Source organism: Homo sapiens, chromosome 6, assembly GCF_000001405.40.
Source record: "Homo sapiens chromosome 6, GRCh38.p14 Primary Assembly".
In the NCBI taxonomy this organism is placed as follows: domain Eukaryota; kingdom Metazoa; phylum Chordata; class Mammalia; order Primates; family Hominidae; genus Homo; species Homo sapiens.
This window is the reverse complement of record NC_000006.12, coordinates 68959624-68974183: the sequence shown is the minus strand read 5'-3', so window position 1 is coordinate 68974183 and position 14560 is coordinate 68959624. Positions and strand designations below refer to the sequence as shown.

The following is a 14560-nucleotide window of genomic DNA, read 5'->3' as shown; positions in this document are numbered from 1 at the left end:
TCAATAAAAATATTTATAATATTTTAGGATGTTATACAAAAAAGTGACTTCCAACAAACAAAAAGGCACATTAAAATTATTAACTATTAAATGTTAAAAATAAATAAGCATAAAGAGTAAAAATACGTAACTTTTTACCTCTTCAACTAAAAGCAATGATAGCAGTAAAAATATACCAATTTGATCTTTTTGTCATATTATATTCAAAATTTCAATTTAATTATTGAGCAAGAAAATTAAAAATAACTTCAAAAATAACAGATGTTTAACTGTAATATAATGAAATGCAAAATAGTAGTGAAAGAATGAGGTCTATCTATATTGTGTTAAAAGTGACATCTTGCTCCCATGTGAAAGAATATTAGTCCCTTCTCTAGACACACACACTGTTGTGCTTTTCATACAAAATTGTCATTTACATGTTCATATATCAGTCTTCACTATTTGCTAGGGATCTTGTTTGGGTCTACTCACCTCTGTATCACTTGTACCTAATGGTGTGTTTGCCACATGAAGTTGCTCAAAATTGAATAAATAAATAAATGAATATATGTTTTATAAATACCTTGATAAATAAGTGAGGATCTTAAAATACTAAGTACCTAAATAAACACAGGAGTGTGATTTCTTGGGAGAAACATCTTCCTTGCAGAATAATATAATATTTAATCCATGATAATCATCATTCTACTGATACCAATTCCATTTCAGAATTTACGAACTCATTAAATTACCTTATAGTTATCAGTAGGGGAAGAATACAAGTTGACAAATTAAATCTTGAAATAATATTTAAAAAATAATTACCCAAGATAAGATGAATGGTTTGAACACATGGGTATTACAAAGCTGACAGTGTCACTGAAGATCAACTATTCCAACTCCTTCCTCTTTACAGATGAAGGCACCAAGGCCCAAAAAGAGGAAGCTTGTCTAAGGAGACAGAGCTGGTGGAGGTGTCAGCAGGACTGGATCCTAGAATCCACACTCCTCAGTCATCTTCCTTTTCTTTTCCCACATATACTCTTCATGACCTTGAATTGTTTAAGATAGTCCTCTCCCTCTGAGTATATGTAAATATATATTCATTTATTTATTCCATGTTCCCATTAAAACACATAGGCAATGTTTTCAATTTGTGTCCTCTTTGCTTGGTGGAGGGTTTAGCAGTTAATTCAACCTTCACCAGCCCCACTTTCATAAGCTGTCTCCTCCTAACCTTACCAATGATCTACCAACAAACCTCATCTTAGTCTCACACAGTCTGGGCCTTGTCTGTACCACTATATTTTGACTTTTCTCACCTTCTTGGAAATACTTTCTTCAGCATCTTAAGCCATTCTCCAACACTCCTCCACCAACCCCTCAGAGCATTCTTTCTTTGTCTCATTCTTTGTGTCCTTCTCAGAATCATTCATACCTTACTTCTTCCTTACGTTAGGTGTTTTTCTTGGATAATTTCAAGCATATTAATAATAGTAATATAATCATATTAGTATTTATTAAGCCCTTTTGGAGAGTTTTACATGCATGGACACATTTGCTCTCTCCCAACCACCTACGAGTTAGCACCTATGAGTTAGAGGTGACTATGATCCTTATTTATCACATGGGAAAACAGAAGCACAGAGAAGCAAATGAACTACTTTTCTTCTTCAAATTCCAAACTTTATTACATATTGAATCCAGAGGAGAAACTGAGTGCAGGAGGGGGAGGTTGGATGGGGAGGAGTCATTTTGCCAGGTGCTCCAAACCCTCCCCATTCGGGAGCCTGGCCATGCCCTCCTGGCTCCATCAAAGCACCTGGGCTGTTAAATGGGGCAGGAGAGCTGTGCTGAGGTTGGCAAGGCCCTTTCCCAGGACACAAGAACTGGATTTGTCACAGTTTGGCTTGGGAATGGTGGTGATGAGTAGGAGAGGACCTATCATAAATCAAAAATATAAAATAATAAAATAAAACTAATCACAAAAAAATCTACAACTCAAGTGAGGGTAGGGGCAGCCACTAGGTAGGGCTAACTCCTTCAATATCTTGGGAATAGAAACAACAGGAAAATAAACTAAGAGATACAGCAGCCACCAGTAGTGAAGCACCAATAACCACACATTCCCACACTGGTCCCAAAGGTTAGTAAGCCAGAGCTACTTCACTGCCTGTTGCATCTGTGCCCCACCCTTTGGAGAGCACATGCTCCTGGCCCTGCTGCCCCATCCTGCCTCCCACCAGCGGGCCACAGAGGTCCTTGGAAGTGTCTCCTAGGGAGAGCAGCAGCAGCGTCAGGAAGAAAAGGCAAAGCCCAGAGACCAGACAGTGGTGAGGGAAGGTACTGCTATGAAACTCGTGGTGCCCAGATTAATGCCAATGAAGGGGAAGCGGTGGAAAAGAAGAAAAGTTAGTAAATGTTGGAGCCTCAATAAGTATGTAATCAGTTGGTTTCTGATCCCACACTTCGCTTGTTATATGGCAGTCATGCCTGGACACATGCCTTCTACTTCCACTATGTATTAGGAACACATACAGTCATCCCTGTCATCTATGGGGGATTTGTACCAGGATCTCCTGCAGATACCAAAATTCACTGATGCTCAACTCCCTGATATAAAATGGTATAGTATTTGAAACCTACGCTCTTCCTCCTGTACACAGTTAATCCTTGAACAACACAGGTTTGAGCTGCATGGGTCCACTTATATGTGGATTTTTTTCAACTAAACACTTATTGAAAATACGATATTGGCAAGATGTGAGACCTGCATCTAAGAAGGGCAGACTTTTCCAACACACAGATTCTGCAGGGTGGTCTGCAGGCATTGAGTAGACAGGATTTTAGTAGACACAGGGTCCTGGAACCAAGGTATGACTGTACCATAAGACATCATCTATATACTATTTATAATATTTAACTCAATGTAAATGCTATATAAATAGTTGCTATACTGTATTGTTTAGGAAATAATGACTAGAAAAAACTTTGTACATGTTCAATACAGACGTCATTTTTTTCTGAATATTTGATTTGTGGTTGGTTCAATCCACAGAGATGAAACCCATGAATACTGACGGCCAACTATATGTGTTTCTTTGGTTCAGGTATCTTTCTTGGGTTTAGGCTGGCGTAGCCAGTTTCTGAGTGGCATTTTTTACTTGGCTATTCCAAAGAAATCTCAGGTGAAGCTGCTCACACTTCAATTCCCAGTATTATTCTCCACAATGCTGCTTGTTTCCTCTCCTTGAAATTCCTAACTCTGCTAATGGTACTACAATCTTGTTCCCGTAACTAAAACCATTGGATCCATCTTCTAGTCATCCTTATCTTACTCTTAACCTTCCATGATTTTACCTCCACCACTCACCCAGGCATTCATTCTGTCCTGGTTAAATTAGGGGAACAACCTCATTGGTTATTTCATGCACTTACCTCACATGTGTTGGGCCTGTGTCCTAGGACCTGTGCTAGCACTAACATGTGCTAGGCTACATTTTTACCTAATATGTGCTAGAGCTAGGCCCTGTTAATGTAACATGGTGCTAGGCCCTGCTTTAGAAGAACCAATGGTGCATAAGAAATGCAGTCTGGGACAGGCACAGTGGCTCATGCCTGTAATCCCAGCACTTTGGGAGGCCAAGGCGGGCAGATCATGAGGTCAGGAGTTCAAGACCAGCCTGATGAAACCCCATCTCTACTAAAAATACAACAATTAGCTGGGTGTGGTGGCGTGCACCTGTAGTCCCTGCTACAGGTGCTGAAGCAGAAGGAGGAAGATCCCAGCTACAGGTGCTGAAGCAGAAGAATTGCTTGAACCCGGGAGGCAGGGTTTGCAGTGAGCCAAGATCGTGTCACTGCACTCCAGCCTGGGTGACAGATCAAGATTCCATTTAAAAAAAAAAAAAGAAAGAAGAAAAGAAAAGTAGTCTGCCTAGACATTCTTTTAGTCAAAGGGAGGAGGCAAGGTGAAACAAAAAATTACTTGAGTACAATTATGATGAGCACTTCAAATAGTAAGTACAGGGTGCTATTTTAACCTAAAAACTGAAGAATCAAGGAAGGCTTCCTGGAGAAAGTGACATATAATTAAAACTGGCAGTGTGCGGTACAATAAATGCTCCAGGCAGAGGAAACAATTTGTGCAAAGGCCTTGAAGCAAGGAAGAGCTTGGGGCATCGAGTTCAGCAGGGCTGGAAGGAGAAGAGTAAGACCAAGTATAGAGTAATGGTCTGGTGAGAGAGGCCATGATTAGAGCCTATAGGGCCACATGGGCAGCCATTGAAGGGTTCTAAAAAAGTGAAATGATTCAATTTTAAATTTTAAGATAGTTTGCCTTCTGTGGGTAGAATAGATGGCCAATGCCGTGGAGGAGACCAGTGCAGTGCTTCAACCCTGAAACATTGATGGCTTTAGGTAGGATGATTAGACTAAAGATGAGAAAAATTGGTGGATACAAGGTAAATTGAAGAGGTAGACAAAACTATGTGAGAATTTAGGAAGACAAAGGGGTCAAGGATGATGCTTGCTTTCTGAGTTGAGGAGCTGGGTAGTAAGTGGTACTGTTCTCCTCCATCTGCCCCCTTAATCCAATTTTCATGCCACATCAAAAGAGTAATCTCTAAGATAAAGTTTAATCCCACAATTTTCTGCTTAAAACCCTCCCATGCTTCTCCAGTACTGACAGGATAACACAGAAAGAACTAAGATAGCTGTGCTTAGTGTGATCCAAAGGCCCTGCTCATAAGGGCTGTAGCCTACCATTCCCATCACGGCTCATATTTACTCTCCTATGCAGCAGCCACACAGTTAATTTTCCTGAATATTTTTGATCTGTGGTTGGTTCAATCCACAGATGTGAAACCCATGGATATTCTTATTTTGAGGGGTAAAATTCCTATTTATCCTTAAAATGCTGCTTAAATGATGTATTCTCCAATAACTCTTTCCTAATATCTCAGTTATTGAATATATGAATATTATAGCCCTTCTCACAACAGATTGAAAATACTTGGTTATATCTGTGAACCTCCCCAATTCCCCAGTGTTGCTTTTTAGACTAGCCAGGTTTTACTTTATCTTTTTAATCTGTTGTAATGAACTACAGTGGTATCTAGTATACAGTATGTGTTCAAAACACTTTCATTAAAGAAATCACTTTTACTGGGGAAATAACATACCAGCACTGTCCAATAAAATTTTTTCAATGATAGAAATGTTTTATATTTTCACTGTTCAGTATGGTAGGTGCTAGGAAAATGTGGCTAGTGCAATTGAGAAGTGAATTTTGGATTTTATTTGATTTTAGTTAATGTACATTTAAATTGAAATAACAACTATGTTGGACAGTAGTGTAATAAATGATATTCATGTTTCTATAAATGCCAACCAAAAACTATTATAGAATACTAAAAGAAGGAGAATTAGGACAAATGTTAAAGTTCAAAAAATACATCATGAATAGGTTATTACATAATTGAATTCTAGATACAACGACTCGTCCGTTTTTAATAATGACATGGCAATAGTTAATCTAATCTGACTGTCATATTTGATTATTCTTTTTGCTCCATCCATACATCCCACTTCTGTTTATTATCTCCCTCATTATCTCTTCATTTATAATCTTTCACTTTTGCTTCACTTGTACTATCTTTTTGGTTTTCAATGCTTTGAAATTCAAATTTCCTTTAGTTCCATTGGTGAACTTTGAAACACATTTAATAAAACCTGTTGCTATAGTTGAATACTAGATTTCCTGATTCAGTCGTGACATAAGAAAACGAAGATTCAATTTGTATCATGAACTTCTTCATTTCCCTGTCGGGGTATCAGAAAGTTTTTCACACTTAGTATTATTCTGGCAAAAGGTACTTCGTTGCTCCCTGCCCCTCCCCCACGGTCAAATGTGTAGTTAGAAAATGTGGTCATTGCAAACCTTAGCCACTAGATGGCACTAGTGAGCCAGTAGGGTGAAATGTTTACTGGGCCGGCTGCGGAATCTGATGGGTTCAAAATCAAGGTGGGGAGTAAGAGTAAATATGTGAAATAAGTCAATGCTTCATTTTTTTTTTAAGGCAAATAGTTGGGGAAAAATAAAACGTCCTCTCTTCATGCAAGTACAATGTTTAATGATTAAACTAGCATCAGTTACAGCTTACCTCTCCTCTTCCTTGCTCCACTGTCACAGCTTCCCACCAGCTGCACAGGCCTTCTCCACCCTTCTTCAGTACTACAGGCCGACTGCAACCTCAGAGCTTGTGTGCAGGTTCTTTCTGCTTTGACTATCCCCCGCTTCCTCCCCCTCAAACATGTCTGCATGACTCATGTCTTTCCCGCCTTCAATCTTTTCTCAAACCTCACATTCTCAGACCCCACTGACTGCCCCTCAAACACTCCCACCCCTTCCTCTCCTTTATCTTTCTCCAAAGCACTTTCCTGTCACCTTGTAACATCTATACATGTTTTTAGCTGATTTATTTTTCTCTTTTGGCTAGATCTGTTTTTGAATTACCCTATTTCTTAAGATCGCAGAGAATGAAGATGATTTTGCAAAAATACTGTAGACGTTGTGTGTGGGGCGGGGGTGGAGGTGGGGGGTGGATCCTCTAGCAGTAGATAGCCGTGTCCAGTTAGGAGCAGAAAGATAGGGAGGTTAGCTACTACAGTTACCTTAAAAATTAGTCAAAAGATGTTTCCAGGGTATCATGTAATGACTAAGTTTGGCCTTGGAGGGCTATATCTGACTTACTAAGATCCTATAGGACCATTTTTTAGAATCCCCCAATGTGCCCTACACACATCCTCACTCTGGTTCAGGAAGAAGCTGATTAAATAGTTGTTTTCCTTTGACCAACCACATCTTTCTATTACTGAATTTTATCTTCTTAATGACTATCAGTTTGGTCTGCCTACAAACAGCCAAACAAAATGAAAAGCAAAAGTCAATAATTTTTTAAACCTAGAGATGTCAACAACTTTTTGTTTTGTTCCACAGTAAATTTATGAAGCCTTGGATTCATTGTGCTTCTTGGAGACAGAAATCCACTACACAAATTATTATTATTTTTAAAAAGGAAGATGGCAGGGGAAATCATAGATTCACAGGTGCAAACTGGTCCAGGGTTTTCAGCTTTTTAGTAGTAATGTCAAACGGTACAGCTGCTTTAACTATTTTATCAAAGGTGACTTGGCATTCTTTGAAGAGTCTATCTCAGAAAATAGGTCGATTTATGCTTATACCAAAAGCAAAATAGCTTTAGACATTAAAATAACAATTGATTTTCTGCCATCTCATCTTTATGAATTCCCCAGTAGTGGGATCTTTCTAGGTACTTCTCAGTGCCACTTATAGAATTCATTCATTCAACAAATATTTACTGGGCACCCAGCATATCCCAGTCACCTTGTTAAATACTACACATAGAAAAGGCTAAGTAAGAATAGTCGATGTCTCTTGACTCCTAAAATGGTCATAAAGATGATAATTTGAGGAATTACAGTACACAGGATGCCCACTCTAAGCTGAGAAGCCCTGGCTGCTCTGGGAGTACCTTAGGGAAGAGTGTGTCAGTGGAAGATTTCCAGAGGGATGTCCAGGTTGAGGTGTAAAGGAGAAGCAGGACTTCCACCAATGAAGAAGGGGAGAGTGTGTCCTGGGAACCACATGTGGGAAAATCCAGGGAGCAAAGAGAACTGGGAATAACCAAGAAGGTGACCGTTTCAGAAAGGGTAAAGTGTAAAGTTGGGGATAAGTAGAGGTGGGTGATTCAGCAGGAGGAGGGGTAATATATGATGAGGTAAGCAAGGATCTTGACTTTATATTAGGGGCAAGGGAAATTTATGACAATGTTTTAAATGCTTGCTATGCCTGCAGTTTGGAGAAAGGGTTGAAAGAAAGAGAGCTGAAGACAGGGAGGCCTACCACAATCTAAATGATGTAATTAGGGAAGGGATGAAGAATCATAGGATGTAGATTAATTCAAAATTTATTTAGGAGGTAGAATGGGCTCAGCACTATGGCTGATTGTATGTAAGAGGTGAGGAGGATAAAGAAATAAAACACAGAACTCAGGTTTCCAGGAAGGATATCTTATGTGCTAGCGAGACCCTGAACTACAACATGTGAGGAAGAGATGACTTGGGAGAGGAGATGCCGAAAATAGTTTTGAGTTTGACATATCTAGGCACATACAGGTATTATAAAAAAGTTAATTGATATATATGATGGAATCCAAGCTCCAGAAGAAAACAAGCTAGAGATAGAGATTTGTTTTAATTATTTTTTCTGTTTAATGGCACTTGTGTGTGTTTTGTAAATTAGAAAATAAACTAGCTGAGGCTGCTCTCTAGACTGAACATAAAAGCATACGATTGTGCAGCAATAGGAAGGATTCTCTCTTTGTATGCCTTAGCTAAAAGGAATAGTAACTTTGTTCATCAGCTCAAAGATCTCACTGTTTGCTCTTACTAGTGCAAAGATATAAAAATCCATTTGTAAGATACAACTATACTTGAAGTCACAAGTATGTAGTTAGCATGCCCCTTAAAGTAAGGTAGCAATTACCTAGTGATTAGCTGTTAATCTGTCTATTCAAACTGATTTTCTGTCTCTTAAAAAGAGCAGAAATGATACAGGGCTTAAATCAATTTTGTGTGGAAAATTAGTTTTTACCCCATATGCTAGAATTTCAGCATTAAAAAGAAATTGATTCTAAACTATAGAGCTGATATACACACACACAAAAAAAAAACATGTACTACTCAAGAACCCACATTTCAAAATTCGCTTGTTGGCAATTCATGAATTCTTGTGTTTGGGGAATTCCCTGTGCTGGAGGATGCAGAGGAAAATAAGACGGATCCAGTGTCTGTGCTCAATGACTTACAGCTCTAATTTCCAAGGTGGTACCTACTCATGTGAAGAATTCATGCTGCTGCTAAGGTCTGTGGGAAAAAGAAGAGTGTTTATGAAGTGTGTTTCATAACAGCATTCCTCATATAGGAAATGGTTTTAATCTGTCTCAAATGGAAACAACATACAATTATATCAGCAATATTTACATAACATTATGAGTTATTGTTCTTACTGTGTTATATATTTTAATTCACAGAATTCTTATAACCTTGTGAACAGAATTGTTATTCTCATTTTAAACATGAGGAAGTCAAGACAGAAAGTGTTTAGTGTTTAGCCTGAGGCCACTAAGCTAAGAGATGATGGACCTATGGTCAATCAAATAGTTGAGTCCATTCTCAGAGAAGTTTACCTCTTCTCTAAGCAGAGGAGTCTTTTTATTGTTATGGTGGTAAACAAGTTATTTATACATTTTGCAAATATTTGTTTTTAAGTCTGGAAGTTAGCAAACCATGAACTTTCAATTTATTAGCAAATGGTATATATTGCAGATTGTTTAAGTACCTGGTGGACAGTGTTATATATACTTACTCATAAGCAAATTCTGTATTATTATTGCATAATTTTATATTTAAACTTAGCAGACAAGGTCACTCTAGTTTCAACCTGATAACAAAGTTAATTAAAAAATTAGCTAACTAACTTTGAGGAATAACTCTAAAAAGCTATTTACTAACTTTTAGTTATACTGAATTTTATACTGGGGTATGCTCAACATTTTGCTGGAAAGTTACGTTTACTAAGTTTCTGTATTACCTTAGGAACAGCCAAAGACGACAGTGAGTCTTAGCCTTCTCTAGGTCATAGCATATGTAGAAATGATAGTATTTGGAGGCACACTGGGAGAAGTAGGCAAGGCTACTGAAGACTGGAGACCACTAGCCACAGTCTCCTGCCTTGTCAGTTGCTCTGAGGCTTTAGGAACCACTATTTGGGCACAGCTGGGACAAATCCTCCCATGACAGGGTAGAACTGCCTTGAGAAGCTCTGGCTTAAAATAATAAGCTGGGCTGAGATTTGGGGAAACTGAACAACTCGCTATAGAAACATATATTTTTCCTACCTCCCATATCTCAATTACTTATTTCCAAAGAAAGATGAATCATACCACAATTTATAACTACAATATAAAAAATCATATATGTGATAGAAATGTTCTTCCAGTAAATCAGTCCATTGAACAGACTTTTGAAACACTGAAAGGCCATGAAATGTAAGACACTAACATCAGAGTCATTGCAAACTTTTTATTCATATGCTTTTATATAAATGTTTTCATTAGTTATAGCTTTTATCATATGAAATAAAAACATTCAAAAGGGCTTGACCTATTATATTTAACTAGGCTCAGTGAAGAATCAGGGATTCAGAAGGCTGAGAACAGATAGTTCATCTGCAATAAGCTGGAATTTCAACAGATATAATCATATAATAATAATACTATATAATAAGGAAATATCAAACAAATTTATAGGGGTTCAAAGAAGAAAGAACACTTATGAGATTGTGGGAGAAAGAATTATTAGGAGAGCAGACATCTCTTAATGGATGGGCTCCCAAATTCTCCCCTATCAACAGATGAGGATAAGAGAGGGGACAGGGACATTAGGGGAGCCCAAGTGAATAACAGTGCAAACAGCACCATAAGGGGAGAATATGCACCCCTGTATTCAGAAACCAGAGGCTGCATCTGCTTGATTCTATCACATATGAACAAATGTATATTAAAATATATATCATAAATGAGTAGGATGAGATAACATTGGAAAGCTATTGAAGCTGATAGAAATATTAGAATCTCAAGGATCCCAGTAGGATGAAATTTGGCCAGTAATGAAAAGCCACAGAAGTTTTTGAGAAAGCAAGTCATAAGAACAAGGCTATAAAGAAGAGAGAATAATCAGATAAATCTGTGTGGAAGAGATTAGAGAAGGCAGGTGTTGTCATAATATGGGTAACAGAGTACATGAACTGCCACTTGATGATCCTAATTAGCTCCAGCATTTCATCCTTGAAATAATCTTCTGCAGCACATATTATTATCCCTATTTTATAAATGAGGACACCAAGGCCCAAGTCGGTACTTTGTTGGACTCCATAGTTCAGGCTCTTCCTGCTGCACTGCTCCTCCCTTACTGGAAGCTGGTGGCAGGAGGAAGTGAAAGCAGGGCCACTGAGAGAAATACCATGATGGACTCCATCTGGAACAGGGATTGCTAGAATGAGGAATCACTCCAGATGACACAGAGGATCTGGTGATCAAAGAAAAGTTTCCCCCAGTTACCCAGAGTCTGAATTGAGTCCCAGGTAGGAAAGCTTTATCAGGTTTTTGTGAGTGATTAGACATAAAGGTACATTCATGGGTGTTGCTCACAGAGGCTATAGTTGATGAGAGAGAGATCAACAAAAGAGAAGAGTGCTGGGGCAGTCTTAGGTCATTCATATGTCAGGATACACAAGGTGAGAAAAATAAGTGTTGATGAGAAACATCAAAGACCAATATTCAGATTTAGTGTCTTGGTAAACATTAAGCTCAAAAAAGGTTTAAAAGTAATTTTAAATCTCTTAATTTAAAATAATTGTTAAACAGTTCCTAAAGTTTATTTTTTCCCAGAAAAACAATAAGGGATGAAAAGAATAAATAAAAAAATAGTAAAAGGTGGTGCTTAAATTTTTCTTTTCAATTTGAGAATGATCAGCATGTTGCTAAATATTTCTAAATTGAACAAGGTAGGGTAATATAAGATTACAGAAAATTGCTTTTTAAGCAATTCATGGCAGAAACTGTAAGAGTCTGATCAAAGTCTCATCTGAAGAAAATCTGATAAAATGAATTATGACAATAATTATCTCCATAGCAACAGGTTTGAATAATGGGCATCTGGTATACATACTGTAGCCACAGTAGTACTATCTGTTATTAATTCTTTTAGATCTCAGCGGTTCTTCCCCAAGTCTGCCCATACAACTCAGCTTGATTTGCTGCAGAACTGTAGACTAAAATAGGTGGTAAAACTCATCCTTTTTGAGAAGATTGGATACTATTTTAGGTATTTATTAAAAGCAACAGGTGGTCTCTCTCATCTATGGGATATCTTCAAGTTCTAATTCATTTTCCTGCTTTTTACTATTTATCTGAAGTGACTTGGCAAGAACAAATAGAACATTTAATATTAAAGAAGTCAATACCTAGTGCCACCTACTGTCACCATTAAACTCAGTGGCTGGTTTTAGGTTAACAACTGGTATGGACACTTGAGTAGGGCCTAATTTGCTATTCCCAAAAATATGCAGTCAAAACTTGCTTTAACCTTTTGAAGAATGCAACAGGTAATAACATAATTCCTTAAAGAGTATACAGATAATATCTGAAAGCAGAAAATAATATAAATTCCAAAGGAATAGGAGCTTTAAAAAGTACTATTTGTGCTTAATTAAATAATATAAATTCCAATGAAATAGGAGCTTTAAAAAGTACTGTTTGTGCTTAATTAAACTTGGTTTGAAATGAACAAGGTAAAGCAGGTGTCAATTTGTATGCAAATATTTCATTATGGAGTAGTGTATTTTCTCTTTAGAAAAGAAATGTAAATTTTATGCTGACATATTTGGGTTTCTAATAATGATTACATTCAGTCTTAAAATTGAGTGGTTCAAGAGTTTAGTTTAGAAGAATCTAACTTGTTAAATTTGTCTCAAAGACAAAAATATTTGTATCAGTAGTGATTAGTTCACTATTCTACTAACTGGAACCTGAGGAGAAAATAAGTCAAAGTGAGCTAAGACCTCATCTTCCTCCATGACACCATCCCCACACCAAGTATTTTATAAGTGTATGTGTATATATTAGCTAATTAGCTAATACCTGTGGGGGATAAGAGGCAGGGAAAATATACTGCTCAGGAAGAGAGATGCTGGGGCTGACAACATCAGGACTGCAGATCTGTGTCCTGGCAGTGCCTGGTTTTACATCAGACTTGTTCAAATGATACCCAAGTTGTTTCTCCTGCTCTTCGTGGTAGAGGAAAAATGAGGATTGGAGAACTGAGAGTTGGATAATGACTAAACCATCTTTCTTTGTGCACAACAGCTAGTTAATAGTCCTATTTTTCTTTAAATGACTGCTGTAAAGAGATCTTATTTTGGCTGAAACATGAGTTGGCTAGAGGCATTCAAAATGAATTGTGTTTTCATTATCAACCAATTCCAGAAAGAATCCCTCATCGTTTATGAAAAAGGATGAAAAAAATAAAATTTTGCAATTTTGTTGAGGTGATATTTCAACTTTCTCCAGTGGAACAGAGGTAGAGGACTGTATTCCACTTCTTTGTTAATTTTATCACCTTATCATTATTATTTTTACTATAAGTTAGTGCAACTGAAAGGATGATTTGCAGACCAGCATCTTCAGCATCACCTGAGACCTTCATAAAAATGCAGATTCTCAGGCTCATTCAAGACCTACTGAGTCAGAATGGCTGGTGGGGTCTGGCTCAGGAATCTGTGTTTTAACAAGCTCTCTGGATGATTCCTATGTACACTGAAGTTTGGGAAGCACTGCTTTGGACAATGAGGGAGGCACTCAAAAGAAGATAGGAGTGCAAAGTAGGCAAGCTTTGTTCTTCTTTCCTACTGAAGCTAAGTTAAAAGACAATTACTTAGAGACCAAAGGAAGACTCTCCTGGTCTCCAGAGGAGGCATAATCCTGTTGGAGAGCAACCTTATACAAATAAGGAACCGTCACTTCCAGAATCACATTTTTCGTAAGCAGGGTGGGGATGGGGATCACATTCGCTATATTATAGGGCACCAAATCCTAATACAAGTGTATTACAGTGTTCAAGACAAATTTTGCATTACCAACACTACGGCTGCCCTCCTTTAGTATGAATATTTATAGATAAACATCACAATAATTCCTACATTTCTGGTCTAAGTTGCTAATATTGTATACATTTATGATATGGCTGACTTACTTCACAAGTGTTTATCAGCACATTTAACCTGGAGGCCTCACCCACCACTTACAGACAAAGCAGCTGTGGTTCCAAGAACGAAATTTTATGTATAAATAAAGTGTAATTTTTACTTGTAAATGGTAGGTTCCAACTTAGCAGTTAATGACTAAAGAGTAATGATCCTAGAATTGGAGTTATAGAAGTAGCAAGCCCTTCTCCTGGGAGCAGGGCAAAGTGGTTCCTACGAAGCTAGAATGTAAACTTAGGACAGTCCAGCAGTAACACTTGCTTTCTGAATATTATTAACCAGGGGAATATTGGGGTGAAAATCAAACTAAAAACCTAAAAAATATTATGTATGACATTGTAGCAATTAATAAAATTAGGGGAGCTATTACCATCCTACCATTTTAACCTTCAAAGCCTGAGGATACACAATGAGATTGAGATAAATGAAACCATTATCTGGTGAGTCTGACCAATTTAAAAATTGGACCACTTATTATCTTCCCTGTAGCTATTCTATAGCCCAACTAGCATTATTTTTAAAAAATGTTTTCTTATTTCTACAATTATTTTTTATGAAAACAAAAGAAATACATTTTTTGTCATCAATGATGACACTTTTAATACTTTTATTTAATCTATCTACCAGCAAAGAAATATCCTAATCTTGAGGGGAAAATAGTTTTATTTTTCA

The 14560-nt window shown here is 37.4% G+C and overlaps 1 protein-coding gene across 1 annotated transcript in view, besides 1 other annotated feature; it reads right to left on the bottom strand.

Annotated features, from left to right (window-relative positions):
- The window catches only part of ADGRB3 (adhesion G protein-coupled receptor B3), a 754225-nt gene that overhangs the window by 415323 nt on the left and 324342 nt on the right, over window positions 1-14560 (bottom strand). The gene's annotated exons all lie outside the window — the stretch shown is intronic.
- Window positions 5813-6107: an enhancer, noted in NCBI's record as "tiled region #12106; HepG2 Activating non-DNase unmatched - State 12:CtcfO, and K562 Activating DNase matched - State 5:Enh". NCBI's record gives its function as "activates a minimal TATA promoter and a strong SV40 promoter by Sharpr-MPRA in HepG2 and K562 cells {active_cell/tissue: HepG2 | K562}" and the evidence as "EXISTENCE:reporter gene assay evidence [ECO:0000049][PMID:27701403]".